A 22569-nucleotide genomic window follows, 5' to 3' on the forward strand; every position below is an offset into this window, starting at 1 on the left:
CACCTTGATCTTGGACTTCCCAGCCTCCAGAACTGTGAGAAACAAAATTCTGTTGTTTATTAGCTATTCAGTTTATTTTTGTTTTGCTGTAACAGCAGCCCAAATTTACTAAAATATCATTTTGTTTTATTTTTCCCTCTCTTATGGTTGTTTTAAAATCGTTTTCAAATCTAACAAGTATACTGTTTGCTGAAATGATTATTTTGCCTTCCTTCTTATCAGTGTAGTTCAACATTTTCTTTTATGAAAATAAAAAGCACTCATAATTTTTGCATAGTAGAGAAATTATATTTATTGAGGAATAAATTTTATAACAAGTTGTATTATCACAAATCTCTAAAAATAACAACGCAGTTTTTAAACTCGTATTTTGTGAGTTGGAGCCTGGCAACAAAACAACAATAACAACAAACAACAACAATAAATAAAAAACCACTTAACACAGACATTTCTAGGCTGAAAAAGAGAAGAAGTTGCCAAGTGCGGGGTTTTTTTTCAATCATGTTTGGAAATAAGTTCCAACTTACAGAATAAGTTGCAAGAATCAGACTGTCTCAAAGAAAACACATATACCTTTTGCTCAGATTATTGTTAAATTTTACCTCATTTACTTTATCAATTGCTCTTTCTCTATTTATGTGTATCAGATTATTGTTAAATGTTACCTTATTTGCCTTATCAATTGCTCTCTTTATGTATGTTTGTGTGTACTGTTGCACATGCAAATGCACACAAATATATGTTTCTGAATTTTTTGAGAGTAGATTGCATACATTATGGCCCTTTACCTCAAAATACTTTATTGTGTATTTTCCAAGAATAGGGATTTTTTTTACTTAATCAAAGTATACTTCTTATCTGATTGACTGTCTATATTCCAATTTGCCAGTTGACCTAACATTGTCCTTTGGAGCACTTATGTTACCTCTGGTACAGAATCCAGTCTAGTATTACTTACTATGTTTAGTTGTCAGGTGTTTTTACTATCATTTAATCTGAAACATTTCCACAACCTTTCTTTGTCTTCTATGACATTGACATTTTTGAAGAATTCAGTCAAAACCCCCTGTCGTTTCTGGTTGTTGTTGTTACAGTGATGTTGTTTCCTTCTCAGTGGGTCACATTTGAAGGCACATGTTGAACATCCACCCTTTATTGGTGAGGTTAATTTTGATAACCTAGTCAAGAGGTTGTCCATTTTTTTCCATTGCATGGTTACTATTCTTTCCCCAGAAACTAACAACAATCTGTGAGGAGATACTTTAAGCCCAGACTAATACCCTAATATCCTGCTCCTAAGCGAAATTTCCCCCTAGCTTTAGCATTGATTGATAATTCTTGCCTGAGCCATATTTACTGTGATGGTTGAAAAATGATGGTTTTCCAATTCCAGAACTCCTTCCACTCACATTTAACACTGGTCCATGACGTTCTATTGCAAAAGAGAAACCTTCTCATTTCTCTATCTATCTATCTATCTATCTATCTATCTATCTATCTATCTATATATCTATCTATCATCTGTCAGTCATCTACCTATCTATCGATTATCTATCATTATATCAGTATGGATTCATGGATTTCTATTTTTTCCCAATGGAATTGGGAATTTATTTTATTTTTTTCTCAATTATCTTGTTATTTATTTTTCTCAATTATTTTGCTCTCAGATTGGCTCAAGTTTGGCCAGTGGGAGCCCCTTCAAGCTGGCTCTATGTTTTGGCAATATACCTCTATTTTTTTTTTTAACATTACTTTCTGGCATAACAAGATATTTCAAGCTCATCTTGTTCCTACCTTGCCCTTGCTTTGGAATCATCCATTTTTCCAAGTAGCCTTGGTTCCTTTTAGTGGCAAACTATATTAGACACGAAGATCTGAGTGCTAGGTATATTCATTTCTGCTGAGGTGTTTTTGTGTCTAAGCCATTTTGGCAGATAGGATTAGTAAATATATGCATGTGTATACACACACGCACATAAATGCATGTGTATTATCACACACATATATGCATGGAGGCATGTGTATGCAATTATAATACATATAAACGTACATATACATGGTTTAGAAATTATGAATTTATACCAATTCTATTCCATTTCCACATGGTTCTTTCTTGCCTTCCCTCATTTCATATTTGTATATTTGTTTTTCCATAGTGAACATCCTGACTCCCATCAACATCAACATGTTTTCTCATTTGCTCAATCATATAATACATCTGAAATAGTTTTATTATTACTTGGGCACAATGCAATGGTCCCCCGTTCCTGCCTGTCAACAATTACTGGACCTAATGATATGACTAGTTATTTATTTAAAATAAAGGGACTCCTATGTTTACAAAAAGTCTTGTACAAAAATATTTGTAGCAGCTTTATTCATAGCAGCCGAAAATTAGAAATAGCTCAATTGTCTTAATAGTAGAATGGATAAACTGTGATATATTCATACAATGAAATAGTACTTGGTAATAAAAAGAAACAAACTACAGCTGCATGCAACAATGTGGATGTATCACAAAAACATGATGCTGAATTTAAAAAAGGCAAACAGAAAAGAATGCATGATGTACAATTCCCTTCATATGAGCAGGTAAAATTAATCTATATGATAGAAACCAAACCACTACTTGCTTTTGGTAGGGGTGGAACAGAAAAGGACACTGATTGGGAAGGGACAGAAAAAAATGTACTAGGATTAAGAAAATGTTTTGTGTCTTGAGTGGGATGTGAGTTATATTTAACTCACATTTACCTGTCTATAAATTATCTGTCTATAAATTATCCATTTTTACTTAACTGTCTATAAATTTAACTGTCTATAAATTATCCATTAATTTTAAAATGTTGGCTGGAGTAGAGGCTACCCCTTTTAACTGAGACTACAATTCTTTACATTATAATAGCCCATTCTCCTAGCTTGCCTCATTTCTGATGCTCCTTCCCCATATCTCCTCTGGCCCCTGTCAGCATTTGAGTTTGCTACCCTGATCAATACTTTGATTTCATTTTACTAAGAAATTATATCCTTTTTATTATCATTTCAAGTATACAAAGTTCAACATAGATTAGAATTTTGTAGTTAATTGAATGACATCATCAACTGTTTGTGTCTGGCCAATATATATGCTTTGATGTAATAATGACATGCATGCACATTGAAAATGTTTAAATAACACTGACTTTTAGATTAATTCTCAGTTTAGGCCTTTGCATATCTGATATATTAAGACAAAAGCAAAAACAAATATTTGCAGTGTATTCAGTTTTGTCAATGGAAGCAATTGATTTCCATCATTAAATGATAAAAAGCCACTTCAATGAAGAAATGATTTTTCAGACCTTCTCATAGATTCTGGTGCACACCACGCCCTTCATTTTACATTCCTTAAAAAAGAGAGAGGTTAATTGAGTATCTCAAGTTCAAACCAGAGAACAGAAAATTTGTAATAAAAATAGAAATTCAAAATAAACTCATAAGATTAATTTAGAAAGGAATAAAATATCAGTATGTCAGTCTCCAGTAATTCAGAATTATGACCATTGAAATAGAAGAAACAATTTAAAAGTTGATCTACGTTGCTGTAAAGGAATTTTTTTAAGTGGCAAGTTTTTATGTATAGTTCACTTGCATTTAAATCTAATAAGACAGTGGTTTTCAAAAATGTCTACATATTTGCGTTACCTGGGGAATATTTAAATATAGTGATGGTTCCTCCTCCCCCAAGAGATTTACATTGAATTATCTGTTTGGAGGCCTCCATATTGGTATTTACTCCCCAAGTAAATCTGTTGTGCAGCAAGGGCTAAGAACCACTGTACTAAAGAAAGAAACATTCGGAAGAGTACATGAATCTATTTACATTCAATGTATGTGTTAATTAGTGAACATAAAGCCTTAACCCTAAAAAAAAAAAATCATCAAAGGTCATCACATACAACCTTTGTCATTATTTTCATCTGCCAACTAGAAGTCTCCAATGAGCTCAGCTTGCTTTATTGACATGATTGATTCTAAGTTACTATGGGCTCTTGAATTCAAAATTGTGGGATATCTGCAAATAGTCTACAAATGACTTTGCAAATAGTCTACAAAATACACCTTGCAGAGAGTGTTTTGCTTTTAAAATTTAGACTTGCTTTCTTCTTTGTGAGCCCAAACTAGTAAGATTTACCTATACTTTCTTTAACCTTACTACCATTTTTAGGTATTTTTATTTGTAAAATAACAAATGGCTTTTTTTATTTCTAAAATCTTGGGTCAGTACTTGAAGATGAGTCTGTAATAGTTTAAATATCACTGAAGCATTAACTCTTACTTTATTCTTAGTCATTTTTATCCATTCATATTCCAAAGAACAAAGAATATTTTGAAAACAATATAATCAAATTATTTATATAGCATTATTTCTCTATTTAGAAGTAAAGATACTCTTACCGCTACCATTTTCCCATTCACTAGCTTTCTCTTTATGGTTGTCTCTTTGCCATCCCATCTCTGCACTTGATTCAGTGATCCTCTCTGCAGGGTTACGATGCTCTGCAAAGACAAGGTCATGCAATTGACTTGCCTGAAATTTGTTGATCAAAGAAGCAGTTCTTTCAGTATGGAACCATTTTCATAATAGATATAGATGTCTCAGGAGGTACACTCCTTTTCAACAGAATTGAGTCTACCCTTTTACACTAGCAGGAATATTCCTCTCTCTCAAGCAGCCCACTGGGCCAACTTTGAAGAGAAACATTAAAGATTACCTTGGTCTTTCTATTGTCAGCTGTGGTTTCTTCAAATTCCTGGCCTAGCTTGAAGGAGATTTCTGTATTTTTAAAGGTACTTTCAGTTCGTATAGTTATAATATCTCCTTTCTTGCTGATGATCACAGTGGGTTTGGCCAAATTTCCCAGTTTTCTGGTGGCTAACCCCACACCTGAAAATTAAGATAGTGTTAGAATTATGTTGACCAAGAGAGCATAGCCAAAGAGACTGTGGTGGCCACATCCTACGCTCAGTGGTGCCCCAGGTGAGTTGATGGCAGGTAATATCACTTACTACTAAGCATCTCCTCCCATGTTTCACTCCTAATGGAAATACATGCCCAGGACTCAAACATTTTAGGTTTTGTTGTTGCAAAAGTAAAGTCTGCAGATTTTCTTTTTTTTTTTTCTTTTTCTTTTCTTTTTGAGACGGAGTCTCGCTCTGTCGTCCTGGTTGGAGTGCAATGGAGCAATCTCGGCTCACTGCAAGCTCCGCCTCCCAGGTTCACTCCATTCTCCTGCCTCAGCCTCCCGAGTAGCTGGGACTACAGGGGCCGCCACCACGCCTGGCTAATTTTTTGTATTTTTAGTAGAGACGGGGTTTCACCGTGTTAGCCAGGATGGTCTCGATCTCCTGACCTCGTGATCTGCCCTCCTCGGCCTTCCAAAGTGCTGGGATTACAGGCGTGAGCCACCGCGCCCGGCCAATGTCTGCAGATTTTCAAGAGTAAAAGTTTCCAGCTGAAATAGCTACTGCAAGTCATCCATTTTTATCACATCCAATCCTATTCCCCATTGAAAATTACTAATTATAGATTTGCATAAATCATTCTAGAGATTTTAGTTTGTATGTACAAATACTATAGATATATTTTAAAGATGAGACTATAGCATATACGTATTGTTCTATGATATTTTCCCTCAATACCATATTATGGATATAGAGAAGTATTCCCCTCATATTTTTGATAGAATTTCACTTCTGAAATTTTGTGGCTTCTATATCTAGCTGGTAGGAAAAAAACTATCCATCTAACTTTGAGATCTATACTATTATAAATGATCATAGAGAAATAAAATATTTTTTAAAAAACTCTTCTACATTTCAAAAATGAAACAAAATTAGACTCTTAAGTTTATTACCATTATTACCAAGACTATAAAATATATGGAAAAGGGAAAATGTAAAATAAAAAATATATGAAAGAAAAACTAATTTTCCAGGAAGTCTCAATGGTTGAATAACTTTTTCCAGTTAAAAAGATCTCAAACTTTTACATACTGAATAAGAAGTTAAGAGTTACAGCCAATAAACTATAAACTATATTCTTTCTTCAAATTCTGATTAATCTTTTGTTATTTTATACAGTTTAGGACAATGTTTCTCAAGTTAAATCATAATCTCTGGGTCAGAGCCTGAGAATTTATATTTACCAAATCCCAAGGTGTTATTTTGCATGCTAAACTGGAAAACAGTGGAATTAGAAAATCCTTCACTGAGACTTTCTTTTATTTGGCTTCTTCCTCAGCTGTAAAGTGAAGTCTTTAAATCTAACCGATCTCACAGTATGAATTGATCCCCATAAGTTCTCTTACTGTTCCAGGCAACAATGACATGACTTTGCTCATTTTATCTAAAATAGAACATTTTATACAGGCTTTCTGAACAGTTAAGTAAAGCTGTAGGCACTTTGACAAGCACAGCAAACTCGGGTCACTGGCATCACTCTTTATTGTATTTATATAGTTCTGAAAATTCCCAAAGACTCTTCATATCTATTGTGTTTATATCGATGGGACATACTCTAGAAATAGTATAAAATAAAGTTGTTGTAACTAATGACTCGGTTTTCCATCTTCACTCACTGCTCCAACTCCAGAAACGTCTGATGTTAGCGAAATTGAGTTTGAATTCACTGCCATAACTCCAGTTCTTTTTCTCTCAGTAACTTCCCTAGACTATGAACACAGTATTTTAGGAAGTATTTTTGTTTTTCAAACTCTCTGTATCTACATGATTGTGTAATAAAGGACAACCTAGAGGTAGAGAGAAAAAACTGTTAGTTTAGCTAAAACTTAAATTTTTAAATTGAGATTTTCTAGGATTTGCAATATATTCAATTCCTTATTTTATGAACACTTCAGTTGCTATGAACGTAGCTCTCAGAAAAGCCAGAAAATGGGTTGACCATGCTTTTAAGCTTTCTCTCCTCTGGACCTGCAACCAAAATTCTCTTGGTATGAAATTGCCCTTGAAATCAGTGGGCATTCCATGCATTTAAGCAGCTCTCTCATTTAAGTTAATTCTATTAAAAATTACCACAAATAAAATTCAAATAAATTATCTGAATGACACAACAAAAGATTAATCCTAAAAGAGGATTGTACTGCAGCCTTGCAAAACTCCCCAGTATCCTGTTAAAAGTAGTAGATGAAAATGTCATGTAGCTTTCTTAAAAAGGAGCTTTTCAGCAGAACAACAAAAAGCATTTCTTACCCAGAGCTTTCATGTAATCGTCAAAGTTCTCACTAGAGACAAGTTTCCAGGTGCCCAGGAATTTGTTGCTCATCGTGATGGGTGAGAGCTCAACACAGTTCTAAGTGGGATTCAGAAGACTCAGATAAAATGCTGAGGCCTCAGAAGATTCTTTTCAAGGATGCCCAAAGCGTGTGACTCTTACAGAGACCCAATGGGGAAAGGCAGTGTCGGGACTAAGCAATGAATGGCTCTTCAATGGCCAGCTGCCCGCCCAATAGGATAAAAGAAAACCCCACATAATACTTCCCTTTGTCTCCAAAAAAATTTATAAAATGAATGAGATTACTATTTGAATCTTCAAAAATTTTTTGATCAATCTTACATTTATAAGAAGGCTTAGGCCCTTCATGCTTTGGAAAAGACTGCATGAATTCTGTGATCATGAATGAATGTGTGTGTGTTTAGGCATGTCGGTCACTCTCAATCCTGAGTCTGCACAATTAAGAATTCTTATTGAAAGGGAAGAAAAAGAGGAAAATGTCTGTAAGTATTATGATAACAGTCTCAAATATGTTGTGGGAGAGAAACGTAGGGGAGCAGTGTGAGGAAGTATTCATAGGTAAGAAGGCTTGGCATAGTTCACATATCCCAGGCAGGCAGAGTAGGCAGACAAAGAAGTCAGTCTATTGCAGCAGAGCACAGAAATTGTATTCATGTGATGAAACAAGAAGTAGCACTATAACATGTTCTTTGAGCACAACAAAGATTTTCAGCTAGAAATACTTAAAGTCTGAACTAAGCAGGTTCCTGGATACTATAACTATTTGTGTTTAAGTCATTTAAAATGAATCTACAATTTTATAAAGAGGATTTTCTATAGAAAGAGTACTAATTTATATTGACAACTCACTATGGGCCAGACACTGTGCTAAGTGCTTAATACGGGTGATCTCATTTAATTATATCACTAATTCCAAGAGTTAGGAACTATTATTATATCCATTTTACCAATGATAAAAATGAGCTTGGGGACATTAGGTAAATTGCTCCCAAAAGTTGAATAAGGAGAGGACAGGTTTGAACCCAGCATTGCTGCCAGTGCCCGGGTTCTGAACCATGATCTTACCCTGCTTCTATTATACTATACCATACATGCTACGTGCACGGAGGCCCTGGCCAGAGATCACCTGATGCTGATAGCACCACGATTAGCTAGAAACACTCTCTCTCTTCTCAAAAATCAAGAGAGGTAAAAAATCAAAAGATCCAGCCTACTATATTACATCAAAGCCCCAGTCTTTGGCCAAGGGGAACAAACGTAAATCCACTTAGAACATAAGTGTTGCTCTTGAGAATCTCTGATTACTGCTATATCTTTCCTAGCAGGTTTTTTGTTTGTTTGTTTTTGTTGTTGTTTGTTTGTTGTTTGTTTTTACCTTAGCATTAATTCTGGCTGGAGACAACTGATATTACCAAGTTTTATACATTTAGTAAACAGGTTGGCACTGTTTACAACAACAAAAATATGATGAATTTGCTCATAACAGGTAGAATTACTAGCAAGAAGGGCTCAAGAAACCCAGTCGCATAGCTGTGACATAACTATTGCAGTTACATAGTTAGAGTTCAAGCTGAGTAAAACACGTGAAATCATATACAGTGGGCTGAAGTTTCATTTACAATCCCAGTGCCTGAATAGCTCAAGGTGGGAAAGAAATGGTGAATAGGAAAATTCCTCAGCTAACCAACTAACCCAATCCTAAACCCAAGAGAATGTAACTGGAGGGAGTACATTGTACTGGGATAGAAAAAACAACTGTGAAAGAAAAAGCTTTTGATTAGTGGATATGTTATTTTATTTTCCAAAACACTTTACAGAAATGATGATATCACTTGTACCTTCAAAACTTTTTTTTTTTTGTTAGCTGTACACTATTAAGGAGTACAGCATTCAACATTTAGGTTTTCTGCCTAAATAAATGAAGGACTCCCAAACCCTCACACTAGAGCTGAGACCTTGTATTCAGTGGGACTGCTACAAGAAAGCTGTGTGAATTTTAAGCTGACTCTGTGTTGCACATAGGAACAGCAGTGGAGTTTAAAACATAAACATTGAGCCATATATTTCCAAGAGAGAAAACTTATAACTTTGAAGCAATATTAGACCAAGAGAAAAATTTTCTACTTAAGGCTTATCAGCAATTGTACCTGACTGCTATTAATAGAACTGACCAGACAAGTTTGGACCGTGATGGGATTCTGAGGCCAATATATGGGCCAAAGGCACAGATCAAAGCAATGAGGGAAGACCCGGACTGAACTAGGCCTGAAACATTACATCACTCCTAGCTAAGAAAGTCATCAATGTCCTAACAAGAAAGAATGCATAGAACCACATTATAACTAGATGTATATATTTAGACTGAACTACATGTTTGTAAAATACATATAGTCTCTCTATGATGTGTATTCAGTTCTTCTCTCTTCACCAATTTATTGTCCATGTAAATTCTCAAGATACAGCAAGTTATTTGACTCATACACTGAAAGGAAGATCCAAAGGTCCAAACAAAATAAATAAGGAAAGCTTACTCTATATAACAAACCATGTAAGTGTTCCTTATAGATTGTCTTCAAGCTAAATCCAATTATATATTTGAAAAAGAAATAAGATAATCAATCATTACATAGCAAATGAACAAAGAATTCCTGACCCTCCACTTGGATGCCAAAGATCCAACTCAACTTTTGCTGTTTATTCAATTGCAAAAATATTTGTTGAGAGCTTATTAAGTGCCAAGCACTGTTGAAAGTGCTGGTTAAACATTATTGAATCAAATTCCTTGCCCTCATGGAACTTACATTCTACTCATGATTTGATAAAGGCTTGAAGCAAGAAGTATTAATTGTAATGAATTTGAAATTATTTGTAATAATAATTGATATTGTGATAATAATTGATGACAAGAGAAGCATACCATAGAATACCAAGATAAATAATCAACTTAAAAGGGTCACTTAAAAAATTGTGGGTTCATAGTAGGTGTATGTATTTATGGGGTACATGAGATGTTTTGGTACAGGCATGCAAAGCATAATAACCACATCATGGAAGATGGTGTATCCACCCCCTCACACATTTATCCTTTGTGTTACAAACAATCCAGTTTTACTCTTGCTTATTTCTAAATGTACTATTTAATTATTATCGACTATAGTCACCCTGTTCTGCTATCAAATACTAGGTCTTATTTATTCTATTTTTTTTGTAACCATTAACCATCCCCACCTCCCTCCTACTCCCCCACAATTCCTGCACTACCCTTCCCAGCCTCTGATAATCATCCTTCTACTCTCTGTCTCCATGGGTTCTCAAATGTTTTGATTTTTAGATCTTGTAAATAAGTGAGAACATGTGATATTTCTCTCTCTATGTCTGGCTTATTTCACTTAACATGTGCTCCAGTTCCATCCATGTTGTTGCAGATGACTGAATCTCATTCTAAAAAGTGTCATTTTTAAATAAATAGTTGGGAAGAAAATAAAAATAGAACTTAGAACTTTCACTTCTAGCCATGATAGATGAGGAAATTAAACTCACTTCTCAACTGTAAAAAGATGAACAAAATTAGGAAAAAAAATCTTCAAGGCATCAGAGAGATAAAAAGGCAGAGAAAAACTAAGGGCTTAGGACTTGGGAAAGAAAGGCAAGTCCAGAGAGACAAATCTCATATTTGGAGCTTCTGCTCCTCTAGGGATCTATGAATTCTGCAAGAGGCAGGTTAGAGGTGAAAAATCCAAGGAACATTTAGGACAATGCTACAGGGTTAGGGGAAAAGTGAAGAAGAATCCTGGTTAATCATTACATTTTGTCTTGAGACTCCTTTGCAACATAGGATTAAGGATAAGCTCAAAATATACCTGTGCTAATATAAAGTCAATTCTTAAAATTAAATTAATGTGATCTGGGATAGCTAGTGAACCGAGCTACTAGTCAGAAATGAACATAAACCCTCTTCAGAGAAAGAAGATAATGTCACCCGAGGTCTAAATTTATTTATATAATTTTTATATACATTGCTAATCAAAAATAAATAGAACAAAAAGAGAAAATATACTTAAAAGCTAAAAGAAACAATGGACAATGGAAGTAGATAATTCATAGAGCAGATAATAAAAACAAACATGATAGAAAATATCAACAAACCCAAAAGCATTTTAATGACTAGTAAGATCGATAAACTTTTAGGAAGATGGATTAAAAATAGAGAAGACAAAATTATTGAACACAGAAATGGAAAAAAGCATATTAATATATCCTACAGATATGAAAAAGATCATAACAATATTATAAACTACTTCATGTCAATAAATTAAAATTTTTTAAATAAAAAAATTTAAAAGAGACTTACAGGTTTCTTAGAAAACACAGTTTATCAAAAATGATGCAAGAAAAAGTAAAAATCCTGAATACTCCCAAATCTATTAGCATTAAATCCATATTTAAAATCCATCTCATGAAGATACCCTATGCCCATAGGCTTCACCAATGAATTCTTACAAATATTTGAGGAAAAAATAATACCAATGTTACACAAACTCTTCTAGAGAATAAAAAAGTCCTAGTTTCTAGGTTGCCTCCACCAAGATCTCTGCACATGTCGTTCTCCTTTCCGGCAATACCTCCCTTCGTCTCTTTCCCTGTAATATGTAATCACTCCCACATGTTTAATCCTTAATTCTCAGCTCAATCATCCTTTCGGACCTTTAGAGCGACATTCTCTTGATATTAACTCAACCATCTTTCCTAAAATTTTCTTTACCATGCATATCATCATTTAACAGTTACTGCAATGGCAATGTTTATAAATTTTGAATATAACTTGATAAATAGCTTAACTGACGTCTTGATTCCATGTGATCAGGGACAATGCGTGATTTTGCTCATGTAGTATCCCAAGTGCAAAATACCATGCATGCATACAGTAGGTAATGAATAACCATTTGTTGACTGACTGAATGAAGAAAACAGAATATTTTCTACTTACAAGGGTTTTTGTTTGCATCAAATCAGATAATAAATGTTATGAAAGCATCAAAAACTAGTGCTTATGATCAGTAGTAGTATTCTTCTAAACTTCTTTCTCCCCTCTCCCTCCCCTGCCTTCTCTTTCTTTTCTTTTTCTGGAGACACAGAAAGAGCAAGACTTGGGATATAACTAAGTGACACTCATTCCTTCATTTGGTCTTTCCTTTAGTCAGCAGTAAAAGCAGGCAATTGTTTCCATGTTCAGTATGACATAATCTTATTATGATACTAGGAAAGTGCATGTAAGATGATTCTAAGATTCATTGTACAGTATCTCACAAGCCTAAATGCAGACAATTATTCAACATATATTTGTTGAACTATGATAGTACTAGAGATAATATGATGAGTGAAATAGCAACAGCTCCTTCCCTCATAAGCCTTATACTCTAGTTAGGAAGACAGACATTAAGTAAACAATCAAGACACATGATATCCAATTATTTCTTTTTGTCATTTGCAGATGGATACTGTGAAAATGCCATTAAGAGCCCGTTGACCATTACTATCTAGGCAGATACCTTATGAAATTTCTTAGACACCATCATGAGACTATTGATCTGATTTATCTTTAGGAGTCAGCTACTAGAGCAGCCAGTACCTTTCCCAGACAGGTATTTAGCAGAAGGTGACAATGGCACTTCAGGACAGATAACCTCCTCTTCCATGTTTCAAATAAGTGTTTTGCTCTAAGTTTAACAATGTCAAATTAAAATTGCTTTCTTAATGCAAACCATCTCATGCAACTTCCTCGGCTACCAGTGGGTATTTGGTCTTTTGGTTACTATGGTGACAATTGCATTTATGCAGCCCCAAAGGTAGTTAATAGTTTTTCTTTTCTGTTGAATGGCAACAAAGAGAGGAAAGAAGTAGTCTGTGATTCCTCTAAACAATTCAATTAGCGGTTTTTGTTTGTTTGTTTGTTTGTTTGTTTGTTTTTTGCTAGAATCTAACACACCGAGGCCTCTTTTCCAAAGGCTAATCTAAGATTTCACATCATTGTTGCTAATAGAACACCTGAGAATTGGAGTTACTCACTCACTGGGGAGTAAATAGAAGACAAGATTTCTGCATCTGAGTTTCTTTCTCTGGTCATCATAACATAAACTGAGTTTTCCCCATTTTTCTACTCATTTGCATTTTGTCTTAGAGAAAAGGTGATATTAACACTTTCCAGATACAGGACATCCAAGTAGATTGTACTTCAGGTATTAGCACAAAGAGCTGTGGGAGACACTTTTCAGGATTTAGCCATTTGCTCCATATTGCTATAAAAAAAAGAAATCCCTTAAAAATAATTCACTTGCAAAACATAGTGAAAAATGTGTGTGTATGTGCTTAGCTTGATTTCATCAGGAGAAAACACAAACTCAAAAATTCAGGTGATTTTCTAATCATGTGGTATCCAGGTAGCCTACGTTGTGTTCTACTTTATTTCTTTGATTGTGTCTTACAATTTTTTTGAACAATTAAGATGGTATGATGGCTTGAAAGTATAATTTACATACGAACTTTTTACATCTATATATGTATTTCAGACTAAGTAAAGTTAGATCAGAGAATCAATTAAATTCATGTTTAAACAGTGTTTTTTTTTAAAATTCATGCCAATCCATTCCTTATTTCCTCAAATAACTGAAAACTAGTTTTTTTTTTTTAGTTAAATTCCAGCTTATAACATGTTCGTGACTGGAGATAAACTGTAAAAATGACATCTCTTAAATTTCACACTTATTCGGAGAAATATTAGCTGCTGTAATACACTCCAGGATTTCAGTGGCTTATCCTGGAAGTTTATTTTTTGCTTGATGTCCAGTCCAGTATAAGTGCTCCTGGCCTATGGGTAGCTTTTCTCCATGAGGTGACTCAGAGGCCTTGGATCCATTTATCTTGTGCCTCCACCATGACCTCAGGTTTCAGAGTCCTCTCCTCCAAGCAGGCAGGCACAGATTTCCTTGACCCAGAAGTGGCACATATCACTTCTACTCATTTTCTAATGCAAAATTGTCATAAGGCCCCAGGGAGACAGGGGAGGGACTGGGCAATGCAGTGCCTGGCTGGCAGACTCTTTCTAGCAACAATGCTGTAATATGGAAGCGTAACCCCAGATTTCTAGTGGGTAATTAACCATCTCTGTCACAGTGGCTTTCAAATTGTGGTACATCATGTTCTGACATTATTTCTTAATTTAGGAAGATAGAATGTGATAGTGAATTTAGAGTAAGTTCTCATTTAGCTTTATCACTTACTATAATAAGTGGATTTCATTTGGGCTGAAGTTTTATTATCTGTAAAATATTGATTATTTTGAGGATCAAGAAAGATAACTTTTGGGAAGTTGTTTTGTAATTTATGTCTTGAAAGATATTACTTTTAATAAGCATCTACTCATATTCAAACTCTGTTTTACAAAGTAAACTAGAATCCATATTCCCTGCTCGTTTTTCTCAATTAGTTGCTCTAAGCTTACCTCTGCTGAGACCCTCTTGATCTCTTTGTCTGGTCACTGTTTTAGTGCACATGCTCAACAATTACATTGTTCCTACTCTTTGCATTCTAATTTCCTTATAACCTCAGAAGGGGATCTGGAAAAAATGAGAAGACCTGAGGGATTTTCTGTGTCAGTCCTTTTGATAAGGCTTCATTTACTCTCACAACCCTGTGAAGCAGATAAGTCTCCATTTTGCAAAGGAGAAAATTTAAGTGATTAAGCAGCTCATGCTTGCTCATGTAGCTGCCAGTGGCAGAAGCAGTATTCCAGTCCAGGTCTGACTGGTCCTCCAACCCCATTCCATTCACGGCATGCATCTCTGGGTCAACAGGTGAGTTCCATTCTATGAGCAGGGCTGGTAGTTAGATGGTCAATCCCCACCTTCCTGGAAAAAGGGACACAAGGGCCTGGATACCAAACTCCAAAATGAATAGACTATATTTTTGGACTAAATGTTCAGGATAGAAATCATAAGAGTGTATGTTTTGGGACTAGACTATGTCCTGATACTTCATCCTAATGTTTCATCTACTTTTGGTTACTACCTTTGGGATAGTCCATTCCCTTTTTATAGCCAGTGAAGAAAAGCATGTCCATTATGTTTATTGGATTTTTGTGCAAAAAGTATAAAAATTAAATACTACTAAAAATGTTTAAAACAAATTAATTTTAATTTTAATAATAAATTATATTAATGACTTATTTTATTATATTAATAATATGTAACATAATATAATATATAATTACCAATATAAATGTTTATTATATTAACATATAATAAAATATAATGTATAATTGTCTCTATATTATATATTAGTGTAATCATTTAATTTTTACTTAATTAAATTAATTTCTTTAATTAATTAATTTTAATAATATTATTCAGTAATTTATTAATAGTGTTAAATAGCAAGGAAAATCTGGTGAATGATTCTTGACTCATATATTAATAATGGCATTAGTATGATTGATCTTTAAATAATTAATACTTTCCTACAAACTTCAGTGTGGATTTGACATACAATAATATAAATATTCAGAATAAAATATATTTATAAATTATATATTATAAAAATATGTATAAATATTCTGAATATCATATTCTGAATTATATTATTTTGCACACACTGAAGTCCTTTAGGAAGGAGGAGGACATGGTATGCTGGGATGACCATCATTGCCCACATCCAGCAGCTATGTAGCCAGCACCAAGCCCATCACTTCTGGCCACAGCTGAAATCTCACAGGTTTTCAGGGTTTAATGTGACAACCCTAGTTTCTGAATATAAATATTATATTCTGAATATTTATATTCTGATTATTTAATATTTATATTTTATTTATATTTATACATGAGAGAATAGAAACTTCTCTCACTTATTTTATTTTAAACCTGCTTAGAAAGTAAACAAATAATGGCTTTACATTAACTCACTATAATGAAAAGTCCCTCTTTCATTATCTTTCTTCTATAATAAATCTAATACAACATAACAAACATCATGTTGTCATTTACTTAGAGATAGATGATAATTTTTGAAGGCAAGTCAGATGTACCAAGAGATTGATTATATGAAAGTTCTTAATAAAGACAATGATTCTAAGTATACTGTTTAATGTATTTTTAAAAGAAAATTTTCACATGATTTGACTGAAATTGAAAGGATTCATGTTTCAAGATGACTCTGCTACATCAAATATAAAAGGGAAGTTGTGAACACCATACCTAACTCTGATGTTTTCTAGTCCCTAAGACAGCATCAGACGCACAGTGATCACCGAGAAGAACTTGTGGATGAGTGAATGAATGATTTCCTCAGGAGTAGTATCTTTGGCTCCACCTACTAAAATACTCAACATAGGGGTTTGTTTCTTATTCAGGCTCATTGTAGTTTGAGCTTTGACATATATGAAAAGAGAAATATCTTGAAAATTAGGAACAGCATTATTCTTTTCTTAATCGTGCCTGTGTAAAGTGAAAGATTTAAGTGAGTAAGTGCTTAGTGCTTTTTAGCATAATTTCTTCTTCCTAACAGTTGTGGAAAACTCTCTGACCCTGCTCTGAGACGTCACTAAAGCAGCTGTCATTTCCAGCTCCCTTGCAGAGGCTGATTGAGGAGGCATTGGTCCATGTTCCCCTTTGTGCAAGACACCACTTCTGGGGCTGAACACCATCTTGACTTCTGGAACACACACATGGTTACATTTTGTACACACTCAAGTCCTTTAGGAAGGTGGAGGACATGGCATGCTGGGATGACCATCATTGCCCACATCCAGCAGCTGCGTAGCCAGCACCAAGCCCATTACTTCTGGCCACAGCTGAAACCTCAGATGTCTTCAGGGTTTAATGTGACAACCCTAGTTTCTTTCCTTGGCCAGGGATTCAGTTCATGTCTCAACCCCATGTTGTAGTCCTTTTGTTCATTACCCTTCAATTTCACCCTTACTAAGGTGCCAGTAACCCCCAGTTTGCCTCGAGCAGTCCCAGGTTATGCCTACTCTCCAGATGTAATTGTTAATAGTGCCCCTTTTCAATTTTAATTTCTCATCCAGTTTGGATGACAAATTACATGGACATTCTGCTCTAGTGAATACACATGACTCTAAGGACTTACATTTGACCAAATACGATCTATGTTTCAGTTTAAGGCACAAAATGATTATTTACAAAATTCCCCCTCTTTCTTTCTCCTTTTCCCACTGCTATAGGTACCCACAGCATTTTAGGCTTTGTCCTTTAATTTTACCTCCATTAGGCTGTTTTACCCTAAGCCCTGAGAACATCAATTTCTACCAACAGCCTTTGGTGAAACTATTAACGGACTGTGTGTAGCTCTAACAATTACATTCTTAACTAGACATTTAGAAACTCAGGACTGGCATTTAATAAAATGTCATACGGCAAAGGCTAAGTTGTAAACAGTTGTGACAGATGCACCAGCCTGATTATTTTAAATGGATTTATGGAGAAACGAGATGACTCTTTTAAATGCTCTTTTATAGCAACTTATCCACAGTGTATGACATCCAGTCTCTATTTAGTGCTATCTATCTGTCTGTATCATCATCATTTAATCTATGTATCTGCTTTAAGTGGGCCACACTTCTGAAAAAATAAAAAAATCAGCAATGTTGGTTTTTAGAATCTGTGCTGCCTAGGAGATCACCTGAATTTCCACAAGGCTTTGATAGAATGCCTTAACCTAAATGGAATGGGTCCTTCAGTGAGAGCTCAAGGACTGTGGAAGTCAAGTGGGCAGAGGACAGAGGGGACTTTGGTGCTGTTACAATCACACTGCAGGCAAGTAGCTTCTTGCCTCAACAATTCATTGGTTTGTTCCTAATCCTCATTATTAAATAGCTTCAAAACTGCACTTAATTTGATGCTTTTATTAAGCAAATTTATATTGAGACATTTTTTAAAAATCACCAGCCCTGAGGCATATCTTCTTCAGGTACCAGTTCCTTGTCAGTGAACAAGTTTTCATTGCTGTGGACCTTTCTTCACACCTTTTCGTAGATTCTGGTGCTGACAATATTATTCATTTTACATTCCTAAAAGCAAAGAGGAATCTATTAGAGCTGGTAGATAACAGGCTAAACTTGCCCTGCCCCTTTCTCCTCAGACCAAACCCTTAATTCAGGATGCAAAAACAATTGAATAACTTGAAAGGCATGTATCAAATAGGAACATATAAAGACTTCAATTTAAAGAAAACTTACCACTACCATTTTTTCATCCACAATTTTTCTTTTGATTGTTGTCTCTTTGCCAAGCCATTTTTGGACGTGAATCATTGAGCCATTCTCTAATGTTATGGTGCTCTATAAATGCATAAAGAAATCAGAAGTAGCAACTCACTACCTTCTAACCTACATGAGACCACATATCTACTTTTTAATTTCTATTTTGAAATTCTTTTCTTAAAATCCTCACTTTTGTTGTCATGATGTAGTACTATCAAACTAGAAGTCTCAAGAGATTATTCAATTAGTGCTCTTTCCTAGGCAAACAATGCATAAGCTATTTGTGTTTAGTTGTTTCTTTCTATGTGCTCTTTCATATGACAAAGAGATAAGAAAAAATGAAATGAAAACAATTTGAATCTTTTAGCCCTATTGTTAACCATCAAAATAATTAGCAAAAGGATTAACTTTAGAGATGTGCGACTATTAACAGAACAAGCCCAGACAGACTTGGTGATAAATCAAATTACAGTAAACCATGCCTAACCACCTTCTAACTTTTTCCTGATTGTTGAACACCAGGAAGAATTAGTTCTGACCTTTACTTTCCGGTTGTCTGCTGTAGTTTCATCAAATTCTTCCCCCAGCTTGAAGGAGATCTTAGTGTCCTGGAAAGAACTTTCTGTTCTTATGGTCATCATTTTCCCATCAACACTAATAGTTACTGTCGGTTTCACTAACCCTGCCATGTTCCGGGCTGCGAAATTCACTCCTACAAGACAGAGATAGCCTTGGACCTTATTAAGACATTGTTAACAATCACTCTGGAAGTCAATTTTCAAAGAATGCTTACTTTACCTATTTTGAAATTTTGGATAATGTATAGTAACTTATTTTATGTTTTCTGTGATATCAGGGCTGAGCTAGATCCTCCCAGTCATAAGGTATATATGTGACATTTTGAAAAGCTAAATTCACTCTCTGAGACTATTACACTTCCTCTAAAATGTAAATTTGTATGGTGCCTTTCAAGAGATCAAATGCTTGCACTTCACCTTGTGGAGTGTTACGATAACCTTGTGGGTGCGGGAGGAGTTTGACTTAGAGCCTGGCCCTGTGGTTTGGTTGGGAATTTCCCATTGTCAAACTTGACTCCTGCAGTTGGTGGGCAGAAGAGCTGACTCCTTCTCTGTCCTGATATCAAACTCCATTTCACATTTAGATTGTGGAACTGATATGACACATCTTACTGTAGAGAAGCAGTGTTAGACATCTGCATCACAAAGAAGAGTGAGATGGTTAAAACCCAGGCTCTAACTTGGCCACTTGCTAGCTTGGGCATATTATTTACCTCTCCTAACCTTCAGTTTTCTCAATAGTAAAGTGTGGATAACTGTATACTTGACCTCGCAAGTTTTTTTTTTGTTTGTTTGTTTGTTTGTTTTTTGTTTTGAGACAGAGTCTCGCTATGTTGCCCAGGCTGGAGTGCAGTGGCACAATCTCAGCTCACTGCAACCTCTGCCTCCCAAGTTCAAGCGATTCTCCTGCCTCAGCCCCCCGAGTAGCTGGGATTACAGGCACATGCCACCATGCCCAGCTAATTTTTGTATTTTTAGTAGAGATGGGGTTTCACCATGTTGGCCAGGCTGATCTCGAACTCCTGACCTCAGGTGATCCACCTGCCTTGGCCTCCCAAAGTGCTGGGATTGGAGGCCTGAGCCACTGTACCCAGCCAGCGGATGTTTTAAAAGGTTAAATGAAAGGGGTTAGCATGGTACTGGCACATAGAAACTGCTCAGCTGTTATTCTTGCTTGTATTATGCCTAAACCCAGCTCCCAGTCAACACAAGTGCTACTCTGGCCATAAGGCCCAAGTTTTTTATATACCCCCCCAATTTTTATTCAAAACAAGTGAGTCTATAAATCTATGAAGAGACAGAAAAACTTGTTTCTTATGACCCTCTGAGAAAGTGAATATTGACTACATCAGAGGAACAAATATTACATTTATAAGCACATTGACTTATTATGGGGATAAGGCATTGTTATTTCATTGTCTAGAATGAGTAAACATAATTAATAATTGTAAGCATCCATTAAGCATGTTATGTAAGTTAAAAAAAAGTAAAGATAAGAAAGTCCTTGGCTTTGTATACAGTTTACTACAAGGGAGGTTTCTCTTAATTAAATATGAAAAATATGAAATAATTGCTGTTCTTCCATTAGTAAAGAACAGTTTAGCTATTATACACCCAAGTCATTATAATTAATGTGTAACTAAATGACTTGAGTTAGAGATTAAAGGATTGGTAGGGTTTATAATTCTGAGGAATATCCAGTGGTGAGACATTCAATGAGTAAAAATGTTGTGTTTCTTCAGATTTGTAATTCTTCAAAACCATGTTTATAAAATATCTCTCACATTTATGAGAACTCTAAAAATTAACCAACTAGAAATTTTGTTAGTTGATACTGCTGTTTTAAAGCTATAACTTAAACCTTGAAACAAATTTAATTGATCAATTTAATTGTAGGTAGTGATTACTGTCTATAAATTTGAAGCTGGGAAAAATGTTATTAAATGAAATGACCAAGCTAAAATGAAATTCTATCTAGAAGTTAGGTGAAGTATTTTCAAAAAGGATAAATGGGCTTAAATATATGGATCATGACTGGACAGAGGTGTCTGTGGGCCTAGTCTTCCAAAAAGAGACAATTATTACTAGTAATTTAAAAAAGCAAAAGTAGAAGCATACATTGTGTTAGTCTATATACCCTAGGATCACAAAAGGAAGATAATTGTAGGAAAATTCATGGTAAAGTACAAACCCAATCACATCACAAAATGCTTTGCCAATTTCCAAATTTGTAATGGTATTTCTCACCCAGTTCTTTCATGTAATCCTCAAAGTTTTCACTGGAGACCAGCTTCCAGGTTCCCAAGAAGGGCTCAACCATCATGGAACACTTGCTGAGAAGAGCCACTCGTAATTGAAAACCAAAGAAATATAGGCATTACGGTGCTGCCAGTAGTTTAATTTAAAGAGCGTCTTCATCACGTGACTCTTCTGAAATGGCCAATGGGCAACAGCAGCAAGACTAAAGATTCTAGGCACCAGCATTTGACTCATTTTATTTACCTCCAAATTAAGAGACAGAAAATTAGCATGTAAAATTAAATTCTGGTCAATGATTTTAGCTTCTAGCAAAAAGATTTACACCCAAGTCACCTGACAAATATTACTTGTGGAACGGAGACAATCTTCAATAGACATCAGCTTTTTGAACAATGAATACTGAGTCAACCCTGGAGGAATATCCTGACAAATTGATAAACACCTGGCTGAGATGTTTTCCTACCTAAGACAAGAAATCCTTGCTTGGTCCACCTCAGCTGTTTTTTGTTTGGGTAAGTCACAGTGCTCAAACATCCTCTTCATTAAAATAATATCTTCCCTTCCCTTCCTTACAGGGTTGATGGGTTGATATTAGTTAATGTAACTAAAATGCCTATAATTGCTTGGAGGGAAATGGAGGGTATTATTAATATATTATCATTGTTGTTAATCGAAGGTAATTGAGGACAGGAAAGAAAGGTGACAATTATCATTGGATAATAGTATATGATTTAAGCTCTGAAAAGGAAGCAGAGCGAATGCCTACAAAATTCGTCTTTCAGGCTTACAAAGTAAACTCTACATTAAAAGATATTTTAAATTATAAGAAAAAATTTTGGCAAGTTTCATATAGAAAAAGATGTTTGGAATCTGCATTCTAAAAGAAAGACAAAGGCAGCAAATGGTTTCAATCTCTGTGCCATTACTTCTGAAACCATCTTCTGCAACCCCAATAATGGAAGTGGACTTTGCAGGTACTGAGTTTAGTAAGAAGGAGTAGATTCAGTAGCTGTTGATTTACATTACGGTTTTGAACTCCAGTTAACTTTAGAAGATGTTGGAAAGTTAGTGTCAGGGACCAGAAGAAGAATATTTATATTTTTACCTGCTTTGTATGAAGTATTTATTTAATTCAGAAAATATTGTTTGTGAACAAAATAAACAGG

The 22569-nt window shown here is 34.9% G+C and overlaps 2 protein-coding genes and 1 long non-coding RNA gene across 4 annotated transcripts in view; 1 reads left to right on the forward strand and 2 right to left on the reverse strand.

Moving 5' to 3' along the window:
• Positions 267-7380, reverse strand: PMP2 (peripheral myelin protein 2). Of its 2 annotated transcripts, NM_002677.5 has the most exons (4): positions 7255-7380; positions 4758-4930; positions 4441-4542; positions 267-3389 (listed from the first exon to the last, which is right to left on the reverse strand). In NM_002677.5, exons 1-4 carry the CDS (start codon positions 7325-7327, stop codon positions 3339-3341), a joined length of 399 nt encoding a protein of 132 aa, NP_002668.1. In that variant the 5' UTR covers positions 7328-7380; the 3' UTR covers positions 267-3338. The 2 variants fall into 2 exon arrangements, with proteins under 2 accessions (NP_002668.1, NP_001335310.1); NM_001348381.2 differs by lacking the exon at positions 4758-4930.
• On the reverse strand, positions 18194-21520 carry FABP9 (fatty acid binding protein 9). The gene is made up of 4 exons (NM_001080526.2): positions 21392-21520; positions 19106-19278; positions 18543-18644; positions 18194-18374 (listed from the first exon to the last, which is right to left on the reverse strand). The coding sequence occupies exons 1-4, from the start codon at positions 21462-21464 to the stop codon at positions 18324-18326; spliced, it is 399 nt and encodes a 132-aa protein (NP_001073995.1). The 5' UTR covers positions 21465-21520; the 3' UTR covers positions 18194-18323.
• Positions 21399-22569, forward strand: part of LOC101927118 (uncharacterized) — a 117987-nt gene continuing 116816 nt past the window's right edge. Inside the window, exon 1 of the long non-coding RNA XR_001745980.2 lies at positions 21399-21915. This is a non-coding gene — a long non-coding RNA (uncharacterized LOC101927118). The remainder of the gene's footprint in view (positions 21916-22569) is intronic.

The sequence above is a fragment of the Homo sapiens genome, chromosome 8 (genome assembly GCF_000001405.40).
Source record: "Homo sapiens chromosome 8, GRCh38.p14 Primary Assembly".
Taxonomy (NCBI): domain Eukaryota; kingdom Metazoa; phylum Chordata; class Mammalia; order Primates; family Hominidae; genus Homo; species Homo sapiens.